At 36.9% G+C, this 17609-nt stretch overlaps 1 protein-coding gene across 11 annotated transcripts in view, besides 1 other annotated feature; it reads right to left on the reverse strand.

Annotated features, from left to right (window-relative positions):
- Positions 645 to 939: an enhancer, noted in NCBI's record as "tiled region #2870; HepG2 Activating DNase matched - State 7:EnhWF". NCBI's record gives its function as "activates a minimal TATA promoter and a strong SV40 promoter by Sharpr-MPRA in HepG2 cells {active_cell/tissue: HepG2}" and the evidence as "EXISTENCE:reporter gene assay evidence [ECO:0000049][PMID:27701403]".
- FERRY3 (FERRY endosomal RAB5 effector complex subunit 3) overlaps positions 2237 to 17609 on the reverse strand; it is a 50735-nt gene continuing 35362 nt past the window's right edge. For 10 of the 11 annotated variants that reach the window (NR_144382.2, NR_144380.2, NR_144379.2 and 7 more), the window contains 4 exons: positions 14640 to 14842; positions 5679 to 5736; positions 5024 to 5091; positions 2237 to 4401 (listed from right to left, as the gene is read on the reverse strand). Coding sequence is in view for 8 of the 11 variants with exons in the window: in NM_001352962.2 (NP_001339891.1) it covers positions 4309 to 4401; positions 5024 to 5091; positions 5679 to 5736; positions 14640 to 14842 (422 nt within the window). In the remaining 3 variants the exon portion in view is untranslated. Of the gene's footprint in view, positions 4402 to 5023; positions 5092 to 5678; positions 5737 to 14639; positions 14843 to 16756; positions 16985 to 17609 lie in introns of those variants that run through there. The other variant, XM_006718992.4, reaches the window with a different exon arrangement.

Genomic DNA, 17609 nt, shown 5'->3' on the forward strand with positions numbered 1-17609 from the left:
GACCCATGAAAGGGACATTTATTTGCACTATGAAAGCTAAAATAAGGCAGCAGAGCATCACCTTGCTCCATCTGAGCTGGGAACATATGTGTTGGGCGACTCAAACATTTTGGTGCTCTGAACATGTCCACAGATAACCTGAAAGTGCTGCCAAAGGCCCTGCTTTTTATTCTATTGGCCAGTTACAACATCTACGTGACTTTGGGGTGATGAATCTATTGTCTTTGTAAATGACTGTATGCTTTTGTAAATGTCTTTAACAATTTCGGAGTTACAAATAAATTTTAGTGAATAGGTGATTGCATAAATATGGTATCTTCAACTAATGAGGATTGACTGTATATAGTATGAAGTTCAGCCAGCCTTAGATTTGGATATATGAGAAAGCCTCATATGTCTTCGATTTGGACATATCCAGAACCATTTTCCTGTAGGAAAACAGGAAATGAACCGCAAGAGAGAACTGAAGTATATGGTAATTTTATCTGTGTATATTTAAATAGGACATTATAAGCACATATTGGTCCTGCAGGCACCTCAGGAGGTTACTCCTCCTTTCCCCTGCTTTAGCTGAAATTTTATTTTAGTTATTAGAGATCATCAGCATCACAGATTACAGAAAAGCCCGCCAAGTCTTCTGTCTTTACAAGTCCCATTGCCTTTGTATAACCTTCTAGGGGCTGAATCTTGCTTGCACTATGCCTTTGTGTATAGAAGAAACTCAGTAAACACTGGCTGTTTATTGAACGAGATTCTCAGGGTCAATCTGCTATTTATGTTTTCTTGATCTCTGCCGTCCCTTTGTAACATATTCTCATGTAAATATTTCTGCCCAAGGTTGTGGTTCCCAGCTTGGGGTTCCTGGAATTAGTGATCCTTTAAGATATTGAGCTATAAAGAATCTCTCAAAAAATACATTTCACTTGGATGATGTCCCACAGGTTAAGTCAAACACCAAGGCTTTGTTTTTGCAAGTTTGCCTGGAATTACACAATGATAATTCTATGCATTTTATGTGGTAATACTAGGCATGAGAATGCACAGTGATAATTGTAGGTGATAATACTATGTACCATTTGCTAATCAGAAGCTTCTCTCCAGACATACCTGTCTTTGATTTAGTAAAAAAGATTGCTCAAATAATTCCAATTGTTTATGTTCTCAAAACATTTCGGGCAAAGATGTGATGGATAATGAAAGATTCTTGAACAAAGGATAGAAAATCACTGATTTAAAAGGTCCTGAAAACATGGTACTTTTTCCAAATAGGTGTTGTATTCTTTTTGCTTCACATTTATGATTTTTATACTTCTATTACTCCTACTGAGCAAATCAGTCCCACTTCATATAAATGGAAAAACTTAAGTCACAGAAAAGCAGCCATTTTCACCTAGAAACTGAAAAATAGAAAATAAAAAGAAACTGAAAAATAGGCCTGAGGCTCGTCTCTAACTTTAGTGGGTTCTTTCTACAGTTCTGTGAATTCTCCCTTAGAGCCTCTAGAAAAGAAATGTTTCTGTGATTTCATCTTTCTTTTGTGAAACATGTTTTCTTCTTGTGAGAATTAGCCAGGATCCAACTGAAGTAACACAAATGATGGTGTGTACTGTGCCAATAAGAGATCTGCCAACTCCCAGGCAAGCTCAGTTTCTTCCCGCTGAAATTCTTTTTCATGCATTTCTTCCATTCTGGTCACACTGTCATGCTGAGAAACAGCTGGTGCCACACTTCTAGATCAATGGCTTTGCTTGTGTGGTGCTTCGAGAGCAGAAATGGGGGAAGGGGGGGAAAGAGCAGCACAGAATGGAGACCTCAGGTTCAGTGCCTCTGCCTGATTTCCAAAGCACACTCTTAAGGCCTTGAGGGCCATTTAGGAATATGTAACTGTTTATACAAATAGAAAACTTCTAACTCACAATCCTCACCAATGTCAATGTTTGTGCTAATCTCCCCATCCTCAAAGACTCTCGTGGTCAGCTCCTCTCAACTTACTGGCCATTTACCACTGCCTCCATTCTGCTTCTGCTCCTATCTGCGCCTTACTCAGTTGTCCCTTGGTATCTGCAGGAGACTGGTTCCAGACCCCCTGCCAATATCAATATCCCTGGATGCTCCAGTCTCATATAAAGTGGTGTAGTAATTGCATACAACCTACACACAGCCTCCCATATACTTAATCCGTCTATACATTACTTATACCAAATACAATGTAAATGCCATGTAAACAGATGTTATATTGTATTTTTAAAATTTTTATTGTATTTTTTTTCAGAATATTTTCCATCCACAGTTGGTTGAACAGAGTGCCATCTGTACCTAGAATGCTGTCTCAGCCCAAGGTACCTTCTTCACATCATTCATGAAGTGCTTTAAACCACTCCCCCTCAAGAAGCCCTTTAGAACACTCAGAAAAAGATCCTCATCTCATAATTCTTGGTCCAAATACAAAACTCCAGACTCCTCAATTACTGCATCACTAAAATTCCCACCATTTCAGTGCATATAATTAGCTTTTTAAGTTATATATTTATTATTAGCTTGGTGTTTGTGTGTTTCCATCAGTGGTAACACCATAAACATGATTCTTCCAATTTTACTACTTCTGTAACACAGTTGCATGTGGAAAACGGACATTCGATAAATTTATCCTGACTTCACATGCCAAATAGTACCTTTACACAGCCCTCAGTTAAAGCCACCAGTTTATAAGTAACTTAGTGGAATAGCCTAGAGGTGACAAAGGAAGAGTTGGGCAGCAGCATTCAACAAACATCCGTGAATGAAACTTTGCTCCTCCATTCCGATATCTGGGCTGCACTGATCTACCACTCTCCTGGTTTCTGCCTCTGTCTTCCCTGCTTTGCATTAGAATCAGTCTCAGTGATTAACAGTGGTGCCTGAAAGACAATTTCTCCAAGAGAACTGTATAGGCTCTAAGGGCAAAACACCTGCCTTCTTGGCAGAATCGCCAGGCTCCCTGACAAATAATTTGGAGAGTTTTAGTGTCTAATGGACATACTGCTGGAGTGGGTGTTCTTAGGGTTGTCTTTAGTGTTGTTACCTGGACAAACCTTTCCCTCGAGTAGAAAATTAAGACACATTCTGTTATAGGAAAGCACTCTGCTTGCCAACAGTTTCTATAATAGTTATTACACTGAGGCATATTAATGAAGGGCGTTTTGTTTCTTGTCATCAAGACATGCCATCTTATGACACCAAATGCCCTCCATTTCATTCTTGTGGCCAGTTACAATATCCACATAACTTGGAATTGATGAAACTATTGCTTTTCTAAACACCTGTGTGCTTTTGTAAATGCCTTTGTTTAATGGAGTTACTACTTATAGCATTTAAATATGTTATAGATGGGACAAATATATGATATGTAGCACCTGAGAAAGTAGTACCATAAGGAAAAACAATGGAAAAGGAGGGGAAACAGAGAAGCAGAAATGGGGATACATTTATCCGCAAAAAAATGCAAGAGGTAGAGGAATGGTTAAGCAAGCTGAGAACGCAGGGAGGACAGAAATGTAGAAATGATCTTCCTTGTGTGATTGTCACAATGTTGATGAGCACTAAAATACTGCCAGGTGCTGGTTTAGACTAACTTGACATCAAGCTTGCAAAAAAGAACACTATTTCCCAGTCCATGAAATGTTATTAATATGCAAGTGCAAGGGCACAGCGGGAGGATGAGAGAGAGGGAAAAAATCCAAAACGTCTTCTGACTCTAACTTGTACATCCTTAGGAGTAGATTAAAAAGAGATTCTGAAACAGGAGAATTTAAAAGAACAAGCACATTTGTCTTATACATTTGTGTTTCTATAAAAAGATTTTCACAGGAAATTTGTACTTGCAATGTATATTTCAGTGCTTTTACATTTTGTTTTGGCAAAGAAAGTAAAAGGAAAATTTTGTTTGTATGTTTAATTAAGGATTGCACCTGAGACGAGTCAAGCCTCTTGAAAAAGTCAAATGCCTCCATGTAAATATAATCAAGTTTCCTTTCCCAAGTGTCCATGTGTGATAAATAAAAAGTTTTAGATTACTAATATTCACAGGTAACACAGAGAAGAAAAAAAGAGAAATTCATAAAGAGACTTTAAGTGTTTAAGTTAGGGGTTGATCACCAGTTTGTGCAGTATATAAATTTTTGGAATGGTTTCACACACATGTATCTTGATTTGTGGATTGAGCTGCAAGTTCTCTTTCTGGGCATCTTTTGCTTGACAGATTCCCAGCATAGCACAAGTTCCTGGAGAGTTTAACAATCATCTTCTGCCAGCATGTCAATCTATAAGGGTTTAGTGCTTGGATGTCAGAGTGAGTGTTGATGATACTCGGAAGATCTGGGGAAGCATGTTACTAAGTTGATAAAACATTTCTTCAGAAATACTCTGTAAGACGAAAAAATAATAATTGCACTTGTTAAATCATCATTGATTTTAAAAATAATTTTAGAAGTATTTTAAAATATGGACCTAGTTCTACTAGGAATATGTGAGTGCAGTAGGTGAAAATTATCTTTCATGGCCGATGTAACTGCATGGCCATGGACAAGGGCTGGTTTTCCGGCTCCATCTTCTGAGAACTTATGTCATTTCTGTCAAATAATACGTTTGAGTAATAGAAAAACCTCTAGATAACACTAGTGTAATCAGTAATAAAAAACCACTAATTTTGCTAAGTTCTTCACAGAATACAGAATCATTATCTGCTAATGTCCTTATTTAAGAACCCTTTATAATCTATATAATACAAATGTGGAGAAAAACAAAGGAATGATGAGTCAAGTTTTGTTCAGGGGTTAAGTAACAAATCCCTTGAGTGGTAGATGCTAATATCTTTGACAATACACTAAGTGCCTTTATCACATCCAAATACTTCTCTCCTTAAAAAACAGAAAGCGATTAGCCTTTTGTGTTGTTTTTGGGATTTTAGGGCAGGATGCCTAGCTGTATCTGTGAGAAATCTAATAAAAGAGATTAAATTGGGGTGAGATCTATTCAGATAACATACCTGTGGTACTAGAAATTGCACTGTCCTAGAAATTCCTCCATCCCATGAAGCCATTTCCATCATGAAACCTAAAATAGAAAAACAGATGTTGCTGCATGACAAGTTCTGGCCTTCAAACCTACCAGTCACTTACTGAAATTAACTGAATTTTCACTGTGGGGCTTCATGTCTTGACTTTTTAGGTAGCCATTTGCTCGTAGGATAGGCTACACCTAAAGGACAGATAAATGTTTGCAATTCCTAATTCTTCATGCCAGAGAGGTTTAACAGAGTTTTGTCAACATGCTCTTATTTATGATTTCTCAAATCAAATTTAGTCTCCATACAATGAAGCCAAGATAGTTTATTAAAAGTTAATAAATATGTGGCTCTATTTTTTTTCTTTTTAAGAGAATAAAGGTAATAGCAAGCTGGCAGCAGAACAAAATGTAAATAATGTCCAAATAGCCTTGTATTTCAAAGGGGCTGGAGACTTATTTTGTGACTAGAAAAATAAAACTAAAAAAGTCTATTATGAAATATTTGCTTGCTAAACTATCTAACTGAGGCACTAGATTACAGGGGTATCTTTCACATTCTCTCTTCTGGGTTGCTCTACTTTCAATGTTTGGGAGGAAATACAGGTGGTGGTTGTCAGAGAGAAGATTATGCTCACCTTTGACACACTTGAACACAAGTTCCGCTCTCCTTAAGCACCAGGGTATAGTCATTTCCTAAAAACAGAAACAAAACATAAGATATGTTTTTGATAGAACTTTGTATAAAAAATAAAGTCAGATCTTTATCTATAGTGTTGACTATCCATGTTGTGAACAGATTTAGGTAACTGTTTGCTAATCCCAACTGGATTTCCTCTAGTTTTTAGGCATGCAGCTTCTTCCAGCTGTTAGACTATACTTGTGGAATACAAACTAATTTAGTTAGCCCCCTAAATACAGTTAAAAAATATATATATCCTTAATTTTTCTGGATAATTCTAAAGACAAATATAAATGACATAGGAACTCTACCTACTACTCTCAATGTTAGCATGAATAATTCTATTGCACTGTATATTTGCATAAGCAATAAAATGTTTTTACTGTATAATACATTATTACAAATGAGTGGAAATAAACAAATGCCCCATCCCAGCCACCTAACAAAACAAATGCATTCATTTTTCTATGTTACTTTCTAATCTTCAGTCAAATATGGACGTAAGTGTCACTGTTAGTCTATAACCAAAACACTGATAATCTTCCACAGTATGATTAGCGCGTATGCCATTTAAAAATCTGTCCCCCTTCACAAACACCAGAATTGTTTTTCCCTAAATCTTCATAATTATAACTATAAAACATGTAGATTATTTCACTATTGTGATTCTCAAACTTTGCGGGTCTCAGGATCTTTTGCACTCTTAAATATTAGCCTGGTGCAACAGTGCACATTTGTAGTCCCAGCTACTTGAGAGGTTGAAGCAGGAGGATTGCTTGAGTCCAAGAGTTCAAGTCCACCTGGGCAACAGAGTGAGACCCTTGCTCTAAAAAAATTTTTTTTTAAATCACTGAGGATTCCAATGAGCTTTTCTTTATGTAGATTATATCTCTTGATATTTATTGCATTCAGAATTAAAACTAAGAAAACATTAATTTAAAAATAATAAACCCATTCATGTTAATATAAATAACATTTTAATGAAAAATAACTATTTTCTAAAACAAAAAAAATTTTAGTAAGTGTAATAATGTTTTAAATTTCTGCAAATCTCATTAAGGCCTAGCCTAACAGAAGATATCTGGATTCTGATATCTGTCTCTGCATTCAATCTGTTATATTATCACACAGCACGTAGCTTCTGAAAAACTCACTGGACACCCGTGCAAGAATAAGAATAAAAAGGCAAATAATGTCTTCCTTACCAACTACTCAGTCTTTCATCTTTTGTAAGTAGGCTTCCATCCCATCACTCAACTGAAAATTCTTTACGTGACATCATCAATGATTATTAATTACCAAACCTTTTCTCAGTCTTATTCTAATTGCCGTTTACCTATTGTTGTAATTCACATACCTTAGGACCACTCCTTTTCTTCATGACATTTCCCCCCCTCTGCCCTGGGGCTGATATAGCATCAAATTATTCCAGTTCTTCACCTATCTCTGAAGGTCTTTGTGACCTCAAGGCTAGTTACCACTATGGCTTCCTATCTAGTGTCCTGAATTCTAGTGTTTCCCCTCTAAACCACTAATTTTGGCTATTTTAAGTACATTTCTGATCATATTATACTCCTGTTTTAAGAACTTACAATTGCTTCCTACTGTCTCACACATAATATGTAAGCCTTTCTTTTACTATTTAAGGCTACATACTTTAAAGCCAAAGCTACTTTAAGCTTCTGTGACTTTTAAATTTTTAAAAATGAAGGTTTCATTCAAGTATATCTGCTCACATTTGCCTAAACATGGTCTGCAATGCCTGTCACCCACCTCCCTCCATTTTTCCTCAATCTGTTTCTTCTACCTACAATGCCCTTCTCGGTAATTCCATCTATTGAACCTGATCTTCATTTTTCAATGTCCAGCTTAATTGCCATCTCCTCCATACAGTATTTCCTATTTTTCCAGCTACAAATATGTCTCCATTTTCTGAACTCCCAAAGTACTTTACTGTTCTTTTATCTCAATGCTCACATTTTTATCCTGTCGTTTTTGGGGAGGAGGGCAGAGGAATGGGCAGAAGAATGGGATTTATTCTTTCTCTTCTTGATTAAGTTGTGTGCTCTCTGAAGGTAGAAGCCACTTTTTATTCACCCTTATTACCTTTACAATGCCTTCTATAATACTGAGCAATACACATGCTCAAAAACATAGGTTGAGTGAATTAGCTTTTATCCATGGACATTTAAAAAGAATGTGACTTTCTCTGTAGCCAGAAATAGGGTTTAATAGGAAGCTACTTTTAAATTTGTGTCCAAGACACTTTGTTTTAAGATTGATTAAAGAAAGGTCTAGTTTTTTAGTTGGCTAAAAAGTAAAGAATCCTCTTGGGTTAGGTTCTGGAAGCTTCTAAAAATTCACTAGAATTTTCTGATATTCCACTTTAAGTTATAACACTTTGGCTTCAAAGTTCACAGAAAGAAGAGTATTTCCTTCTAACTGCAAAGGCTGCTACAAAAGAGCTACAGTGGTCTTATGGAGTACACACATGCATGGAGGGACAAGTGTTTGGTTTTTTTGTATTACTTCCTCCTAGTGAAAAGATGATGTACAGAGAGAACGAGGTGACTAAGAAATGTCTACAGCTGGCCGGGAGTGGTGGCTCACACCTGTAATCCCAGCACTTTGGGAGGCCGAGGCAGGCGGATCATCTGAGGTCAGAAGTTCGAGACCAGCCTGGCCAACGTGGTGAAACCCCGTCTCTACTAAAAATACAAAAATTAGCTGGGCATGATGGTGGGCGCCTGTAATCCCAGCTACTTGGGAGGATGAGGCAGGAGAATTGCTTGAACCTGCAAGACGGAGGTTGCAGTGAGCTGAGATCACGCCACTGTACTCCAGCCTGGGTAACAGAGCAGGACTCCGTCTCAAAAAATAAATAAATAAATAAATGTCTACCGCTACGGAGCAATGCTGATGGCTCTAAAAACTACAATAATAATGTCTTATGTTTACATGGAACTTTACAATATAAATAATCTAACAAAAATAACCTTTATAAATTTAAAAAAAAAAGATGCTCAGAGAGGTACAGCGAATTGCTTATGTGACAGCCTGAGGCTTGAATTTTCATTTTCTTAATAGCATCTTTTGATGAGCTAAAGTTTTGAATTTTAAAATATAATTTATTACGTTCGTCTTTTATGGCTTATGCCTTTGTGGCCTAACAAATTTTAACCTGCTTAACCTGATGTCATCAGGATTTTCTTTTATGTTTTCCTCTAGAAGCATTATAATATTAGCTCTTTTGTTTAGGTCTGATCCATTTTAAATTAATTTTTATATATGATATAATGTAAGGGTTACGATTGTCTTTTCTATACGAATACCCAGTTGTTTCAACAACACTGAAAAGATTATCCTTTCTCCCACTGCATTGCCTTGGCATCTTTGCTGGAGATCAAATGACCATATATGTATGGATTTATGTCTGGATGCTTTATTCTGTTTTCTGATCCACAGTCTATTCTTTTGCCAATATCACATTGCACTGATTACTGTAACTTCATAGCAGGTTCTGAAATTAGTTAGTGTAAGTTCTTTAACTTTGTTCTTTTTCAAAATTGTTTTGGCTGTTTCAGGTCCTGTGCATTTCCATATACATTTTAGAATTAGCTTGTCAAAATCTCAAAATTACCTTATAAGAATTCCAATTGAGATTTAAATCTATAGATCAATTTTAGAACTATTATCTTGACAATATTGAGTGTTCCAATCCATGAGTACGGGATATATTTCCATTTATTTAGGTCTTTTAAAATATCTCTCAGCAATGTTTTATAGTTGCCAGATCACTTTTCATAACATCTTTTTACTTGAAGGCATTTCAAGCTTGTCTTCAGTTCTTTAAACACAGTAATCAACTATTGTATGGTCTGTGTTTTATAATTCCAGTGCTTCAAGTCTTTGTGCATCTGTTTTTATGTTCAGTTGTTTCTGCTGATTCTCATTCACGGCATCTAATTTCATTAAGGACCTACTTATTCACTTACGTTAAACATTTTATTCAAGAACCCACATGTAGGAATAAATACTATTGTATAACTATTTGTATCATCTTAAAATATTACTCTAAAACCAATCATTTTTTGAAATACTATGATAGTAATCAGAATCAAGGAATTAGTACTATTTATACTGTTTTAATGAAGCACTCATTTTTAAATATAAAAAAGCATTTTCTGACAGTAACTTTTCTTATAATCCAGAATTTACTGACATCTATGATTAGCCTTGAATTATTTCAGGCTAAGGTCAAGTCTAAGCACCACTAGTCACAGGAGGACAACTAATGTGAACTGTAAGCATAGAGCTTATTGAAGGGCTAGTTTTGAATACCCACAAATAGAATACATATTATTCCAATGCATTAAAATTAGGATACTAATGGTAATAATGAAAGATTGTAACGCAAGTTAAAATAGGGATGGGTTAAATGGTATGACCAAAAGTAGGTAGGGGAAGAGTAATGAAGTTCGTTGTCCCACTTGTCCAAAGGTCATCACGTTTTCCTCATTAATACCCTGCTTTCTTGCTTTGTGTATATGTGTGATTAATAGCATGGTCTAGAGCAAGTATTTGTGATACAAATTAAGAACTTCACACTTTTCAGAATTTGGTATGAATTAATGACAAAATTTCATCAATGCTATTTAGAGAATATACCAAAATACCAATTTGTGACAGGACCCTAGCAAATCTTTGAAGTGACGGACATATTTTAAAAATAAATTTAATTCTCAGATGATATAAACTCTCATATTCAGTATACTTTAACTTAATGCCACTTAGCAGCGTATGACTCTAAGAGGAAACTAGACAGCTACCTGTATATGCATGTGCACGCACACAAACACACACACACATACGTCTGAGTTGTTTTCAAATCTTCCATGTGCCTCCATAGAGACTCCACCGTTAGCTTAAGATAGATGCTTGCAAGGTTTTTTAATCCTGTCCTTTTGTCTCTGATTAAAACCAGCACCTAAAAAGAATGGCTTTGGGTACTTAGAAAAAGTAAACTGTGAGCTTTAGAATTCAATAAGGTCATGAGAAGAATGACTTATTCAATGTCACCATGAGTTGTGGTCAGCAGTTTCACAAGGAGCTCACTTCTGGAAACAAATCTTAGTATATATGATATAATAGATGGTATAGACAACATAGTGGGCCAGGTAACAGTACAGAAAGTTTTTGATCATAAGTTCTAAATAATGGAAAAGTGACTAAATCTTAGTAACATGCCTGTGAGAATGCACTGTTAGAGAAATCCAATGAAGCTGGAAGGATCAGGTGAAACACTATAGACTTTATAACTGGCCAAAAATTGGGCCCTACTGTCACACTTTAGATGACATGTGCAAAGAAGATTCTAAACCTATGAAAATGAAATTGAAATCTCAGTTCTGACTATAACTGAGACAACGCCTTCTATCTAAAGCTCACTGTTACTCAACTTGAATCCTCTCATTAGGGTAAGGCTGAACTGCAGAGTTAGCCAGTATGTTCTTTTGAAGTCTTCACTGTATGTCTTGGAATTCAGATATAAGAATTATTATCTGAGTTTATGCTCCAATGGGGAATATCCAAGATTATTCTTTACTTCTCAAGTATGTGCCTCTGAGGTACTTGAAACACTTGTGTTAATAAGTTTCACAGTCCTTAGCAGAAGATGAGAAATAGTTTGGCTTTATTTCTTATTTTTCGCATTCAATATAACAGCATAGGTACAACCACTTTGAAAAACTATTTGGCATATCTACCAAAGCTAAACATAAATATACCCTGAGACCTAACAATTCTATCCCTAAGTATTTTGACAAGCTAATTCTCAACAGAAATGTCAAAAGATGTCTGTTGGAATGTTCATAGCAATACTACTCATAACAATAAAAATCTGGAGAAACTACCCAAATGTCCACAAATAGTAGAATGTATAAATAACTGTGGTCTAGTCACACAATAATATATAACAATAACAATGAACAATCTATAACCATGCACAATATTATGGATAGATCTCACAAACATAATATTGAACGAAAGAAGCCAGATATAAGATAAACAGCAAAAGCAAGCCCAACTAATCCATAATTTTTGAGATGAAAACAGTGGCTACCCTTGAGGAGGGAGTGTGGTTTAACTGACTAAAAGGGAGGTGGCTGCTGGGTGCTGGTCATGTTCCATTTCATCATCTGCATATATGTTATATATGGGTGTTCAGTCTATGAAAAGTTGAGCTGCGTACCTATGTGTACCTTTCTATACGTGTGTTATACTCCAATAAAGAAGTTAAAAACAAACAACAAAATCTTCATTAGTAACCAACAGTTACAAAACTAAATAATTTGGTAAGCCCCAAATTATTCAACAAGTTAACAGCAAAAATAAAAGGAAGTTGAGAATTCAGTATTCTTGGCTTGCAGCTCCTCATTCCATAAGACTGACTCCAATAAGACAGTATCTTCAGATCACAAAGATCTATTGAGATAAAACTGATACGTCTTTCTTCTTGCTGATAGGTTATTTTTCCTTTATTCTTTTTAAACTGCAATTAATTTCTATAGCTCTTTTATCTGACATAGGACATGGGCTGTTTCAGTCATCTTCATTTTCTTGCACACACTAAAACATGGTAACTGAGTGTCTAACAATTCTGTTAGAAGAGGAAAATGACACCTGAAAATGCTTCGGGATGCTTGCACCAAAGCTAAAACAATATTACCTCTATATCCTGTGTAGTGTTGTCTGAGTTTATAGAGTAAACTTCTTGACCTGAATGGATGTTTAAATACAACAAATGGGAGAATCATAGCTCAATATACTTTTGTGAATTAAATTGGACACTTTGGAAACAAACTTAATGTTCTGCAGCTGGCCTTCCCAATTTAAAACATGTAACTTTTGTAACATTGTGGGAGAGGGAATGCTAGTAGTATCAGATGTCTGGAAGAAAATCTGAACTTAGTGACTTTTGGAAACACTGTTTTTGAGGCTGTTTCCCACCTACATATAACCATTTTTATAAACTGGCTAACCAGGAGTCCAGCTGCAGGAATGTTTGGATGAATTTCTTGTGGTAGGAATTCATCATAAACTTTGTTACTCCCCAAAGACCCTTTTATAGATAGACTAGTTAGTGATGATGATTTAACAATAGCTAAAAATTCCTGATGGAACTAAAACTTTATAAAGCTACAGTAGGGAAAAAAATGTTTGTCCATCTCTCTTGATACCATATTAGGTATGACTGAGGCTACAGAAGTGAATGGAATGAGAAATTAGTAAGTCTGATGAAGCTTTCATAGGATAGTACCAGGATTCTCCTAATCAAAACAACAACGTGCCTGGTAAAACTATACCAGCATAGATTATAAATGGGAAATCACTGAAAATCACCCTGTCTCGGAAGGACAAGAATTATTTTTTTGTGTTTATATAGCAGCAGGCCCCAACCTTTTTGGCACCAGGAACCAGTTTCACGGAAGTCAATTTTTCCACAGACTGGAGTTGGGGGTGAGGGTGGGGATAGCAGGGATGGTTTCAGGATGAAACTGTTCCACCTCAGATCATCAGGCATTAGATTCTCAAAAGGAGCACGCAACCTAGCTCCCTCGCACACGCAGTTCACAATAGGGTTCACGCTCCTATGACAGTCTAATGTGGCTGCTGATCTGACAGGAGGCAGAGCTCAGGCAGTAATGCTTGCCCTTCAATGCTCACCTCCTGCTGTGTGGCAGGTTCTTGGCCTGGCAGTTTGGGAGCCCTGTTATACAGGATATGAAATTTAAAATGAGGCCCCTGTAATATAATGAATCTAAGTAGGGACTTAGTCTAAAAAGTAAAACATAAAATCTTTTACACTGTCCTTTACAATATAGCATTTTTCTTTTGGTAAATAGCTATTTATAATCAATAATCAAACTTCTTTCCTGACAATCACAATCTCTGCTTCCCAGTCAGTGATTTATTTAAGAGATACAGTTTCACCATGTTGCTCAGGCTGGTCTTGAACTCTGGGCTAAAACAATCTTCCTGCCTCAGTCCTGGGAGTAGCTGGGACTACAGGTGCCAACTCTGCTTTTTAAAAAATGCCTCCTCAAAATAAGCAGGCACAGAGTTGCTGATAGTAGCCCTTCATCACCAAGTTGAGCACTGGCTCTCCTATGACTTGTCTGGACCTGTTTGGCTTGAGGCTCATTTGTTTCTCCAGACTATGTAAAGCTGAATTTTAGTCTTTATATTATTTCTACAATGTATGCCTTCTAACCAGTTTCTATGTGGGTGAAGGAAGAAAGAGGAAAACCATTCATGGAAAAAGACTGTTAAAAATTAAATTATAGTCCGTAACAAAATGGAAGAATGATCATGCTACATCCTAATTGCAGAACTGTATTAGCTAAAAGGAACCCTTGAGACAAATGTTAAACTAAGGCTGGCTTCTTCCTGTCATCTAGCATCTCTTCCCAATACCTATTAATGCAAACTCAGAAAATGCAGACTAATTTTCATGGCAGCCTAAGCCAAATCTATGTGTATGTAAATCTAATGCTACTTAAGCCAAAAAGAAGAAAGAGGGGTAAGAAGAGGGGGTAGGGGAGAAGGAAGACAGGGAAGAGGAGGAAAAAAAGGAGGAGAAAGAGGTGTAGGGGCACATGCCTTATCCAAAGCTAAGTATTATTTGGATTTTCTAGTTTATTTACTATAGGACAATGCTATAGCTCTCTGAACATAAATGGTTAAGGATTATTCACCAATTTGTATTATATTTCACTCGATTCTACTAACCAGATCGGAGATGCAAAAATCCATTAGTTTAAAAAAATGTAAAGTGGATTATTATATAATATTGGGGGTTAAATCAATATTATGATTATGTAAATCATAAAATTACAGGATTTTTCTATCTGCTTACCTCTGACATATCATGTACCAGCAAGAGAGGAATGCTTATTGTTGTGATGTCATGGGTACAGCAAACTTTGAGTATATTTCGGAGTCCCATAATGGCAGGATCACGAGCAGTGATGTTTCCCGATTTCACATGGTCATCCACACAGAGATGGAAAGCAACATGGATTTCTGAGAGATTAGAATGCCGTGTAATATAAAATTCCCCTGTGAACAATAAATACAATCATGATTACCAAATGCCTAAGTAAGTCACATTCATCAATGGGCTTTATAAGTAAGTGTAATGGGCAATCAATGTGTTGAACTAGTAGGGGTGTATCCCAAACATTTACTGGATTCAGGAAGCAACTGTGATTACTGCTCTTCAATTCTCAGAGAGAAGGTAATGAAAATAAGAGACAATAGCCAATTATGCAATAGGTTCATAAATTGGTATGAAGTGACCACCAAGTAGTAAATAAATCAAATGAGTACTCATCTTTATTTTGATGTACATGCCCAAGATGTCAAATTAATTAATTAATTAATTAATTTTGACATGGAGTCTTACTCTGTCACCAAGCTGGAGTGCAGTGGCACCATCTTGGCTCACTGCAACCTCCGACTCCCTGGTTCAAGCAATTCTCCTGCCTCAGCCTCTCGAGTAGCTGGGATTACAGGCATGTGCCATCATGCCCAGCTAATTTTTGTATTTTTAGTAGAGATGGGGTTTCACCATGTTGGCTAGGATGGCCTCCATCTCCTGACCTCATGATCCGCCCGCCTTGGCCTCCCAAAGTGCTGGGATTACAGGCGTGGGCCACCGTGCCCAGCCTAAAATGTCAAATTTAACATGTAAAAAAGGTTACTTGTTTTTTACGTGCCCTAAATCTGCTGTTCCTCATCTCAACTTATGAGACCAATCTGTCCAGTTAGTTGCCCAGGACACAAAGATAGGTGTCCTTAATTCCTTTGCTTTCCCTCAATGCCTATCACCCCATCCACAATCCAATCTACCACCAACTATTTTCAGTTCTATCTCCAGAACAGCCCACATCTGAGTATTCCACTTTCATTGGTGTCACCCCAGTTCATGCTACTGTAATTTCTCACCTAGGTTTTTGTAACATTCTCTTAATCGATCTCCTTACTCCCTACTTGTCCACCTACATACCAATTCTTCATGCAGTTATGACTTAAATATATATCATATTATATCTCTCCCCTACTTAAAATCCCTACTCTTTATCGTGGTCTAGAACAAGGGTCCCTCATGGACTGGCACCGTCCATCACCTGTTAGGAACCGGGCTGCATAGTGGGAGGTGAGCAGCCAGCAAGCAAGTGAAGCTTCATCTGTATTTACAGCCGCTCCTCACTGCTCACATTACTGCCTGAGTTCCGCCTCCTGTCAGATCAGTGGCAGCATTAGATTCTCACAGGAGCACGAACCCTATTGTGAACTGTGCATGCGAGGGATCTAGGTTGCGTGCTCCTTATGAGATTCTAATGCCTGATGATCTGTCACTGTCTCCCATCACCCCTAGATGGGATCATCCAGTTGCAGGAAAACAAGCTCAGGGCTCCCACTGATTCTATATTACAGTGACTTGTGTAATTATTTCATTAAATATTGAAATGTAATAATAATAGAAATAAAGTACACAATAAATGTAATGCACTTCAATCATCCTCAAACCTCCCCAACCCCCGGTCTGTGGAAAACTGTCTTCCATGAAACTGGTCCCTGGTGCTGGTGCCAAAAACGTTGGGGACCACTAGTCTAGAAGGCCAAGATGACTTGGACCCTGCGTCTCTCTCCAACATCATCTTGTCTCACTCTTTCCTCACTCCAGTTACATATGCTTTTGTTTAGTTCTTCAAACATGCAGAGCTTGTTTCCAATTCAGGGCTGCTGCCTGGAGGACTCTTCTCCAAGATTCTCACAGGGCTGACTTCTTTTCATCAATCACATCTCAGATCAAAAGTCACCTCCTCAGAAAGGTCTTCCTTGACTATCCTATGTACTAGTGGTCTCCTCCACCCTTTACTCTTTCACCTTATTCGGTTTTATTTTCTTCTTAGCACTGAAATTCTTTTATGTACATATTATGTTAAAGAGACCACTGTGTACATGCCATAATTATAGGGATTTTATTTTGTTAAATGTTCTATCTTTAGCAAGTAGAACAGCACCTGGCACGTAGAAGGTACTCGATAAGTATTTGTTGAATGAATGAGTATTTAAGGCTGAACGCTGGAGCAGTCTTTCTCAAACATTAAAATCCATGCTTCCTACCATCACTCTTTTTTCTGTGTAGCTCTACAAGCCAAGAAAAATCTCATCAGCTTGTATTTTCTGTAGTTCCTATCAATATAAAGAAATAAAATAGAAAACATAGAAAGGATATGTTCTTACCAATACATACACCTCACTGGAAATTCTGATAAGTCCTTCTAGGAAAGGTCTGCGTATCTCTACTCTTCCACTCTTAACCTTTGCCCTCACAAATTCTGCTCGCCCTTGCAGCAACATCATTATCTTAGGATCTACTTATAAACATACAGTATACTTAAAATACTTAATATACTTTAGCCCTATGGTTAACATTTCTAGTTGCCGCTGTGCATCAGCTGTATCCACAGATGCCTCTGACAGGTCCCAGGCAAAGGTCTTTTTATTTTTTATTTTAACTTGAACAAGATAAAGGAATTAGATAAACAGAGAAGGAAATTAAAGAAAGGACAGCAACAGATATATCACAATAAACTGGATAAAGTGACAGTAAAAAAGAAAATTCGTGAGGAATAGTGTAGTTATAATTTTCTAGGAAGGCAACAAAAGACACAGACTGCTTATCAGAAACTCAGTGAACTATATGATAAGACAATATCCTTCTGGCCCAGTGAAGTGTATTACCTTCTAAACCGCTACTGATAATTCAGATGATGGAAGTCATAGCTTGAGATATGGGCCATGATCCAGGAGTGTA

This window comes from Homo sapiens, chromosome 12 (assembly GCF_000001405.40).
Source record: "Homo sapiens chromosome 12, GRCh38.p14 Primary Assembly".
Taxonomy (NCBI): Eukaryota; Metazoa; Chordata; class Mammalia; order Primates; family Hominidae; genus Homo; species Homo sapiens.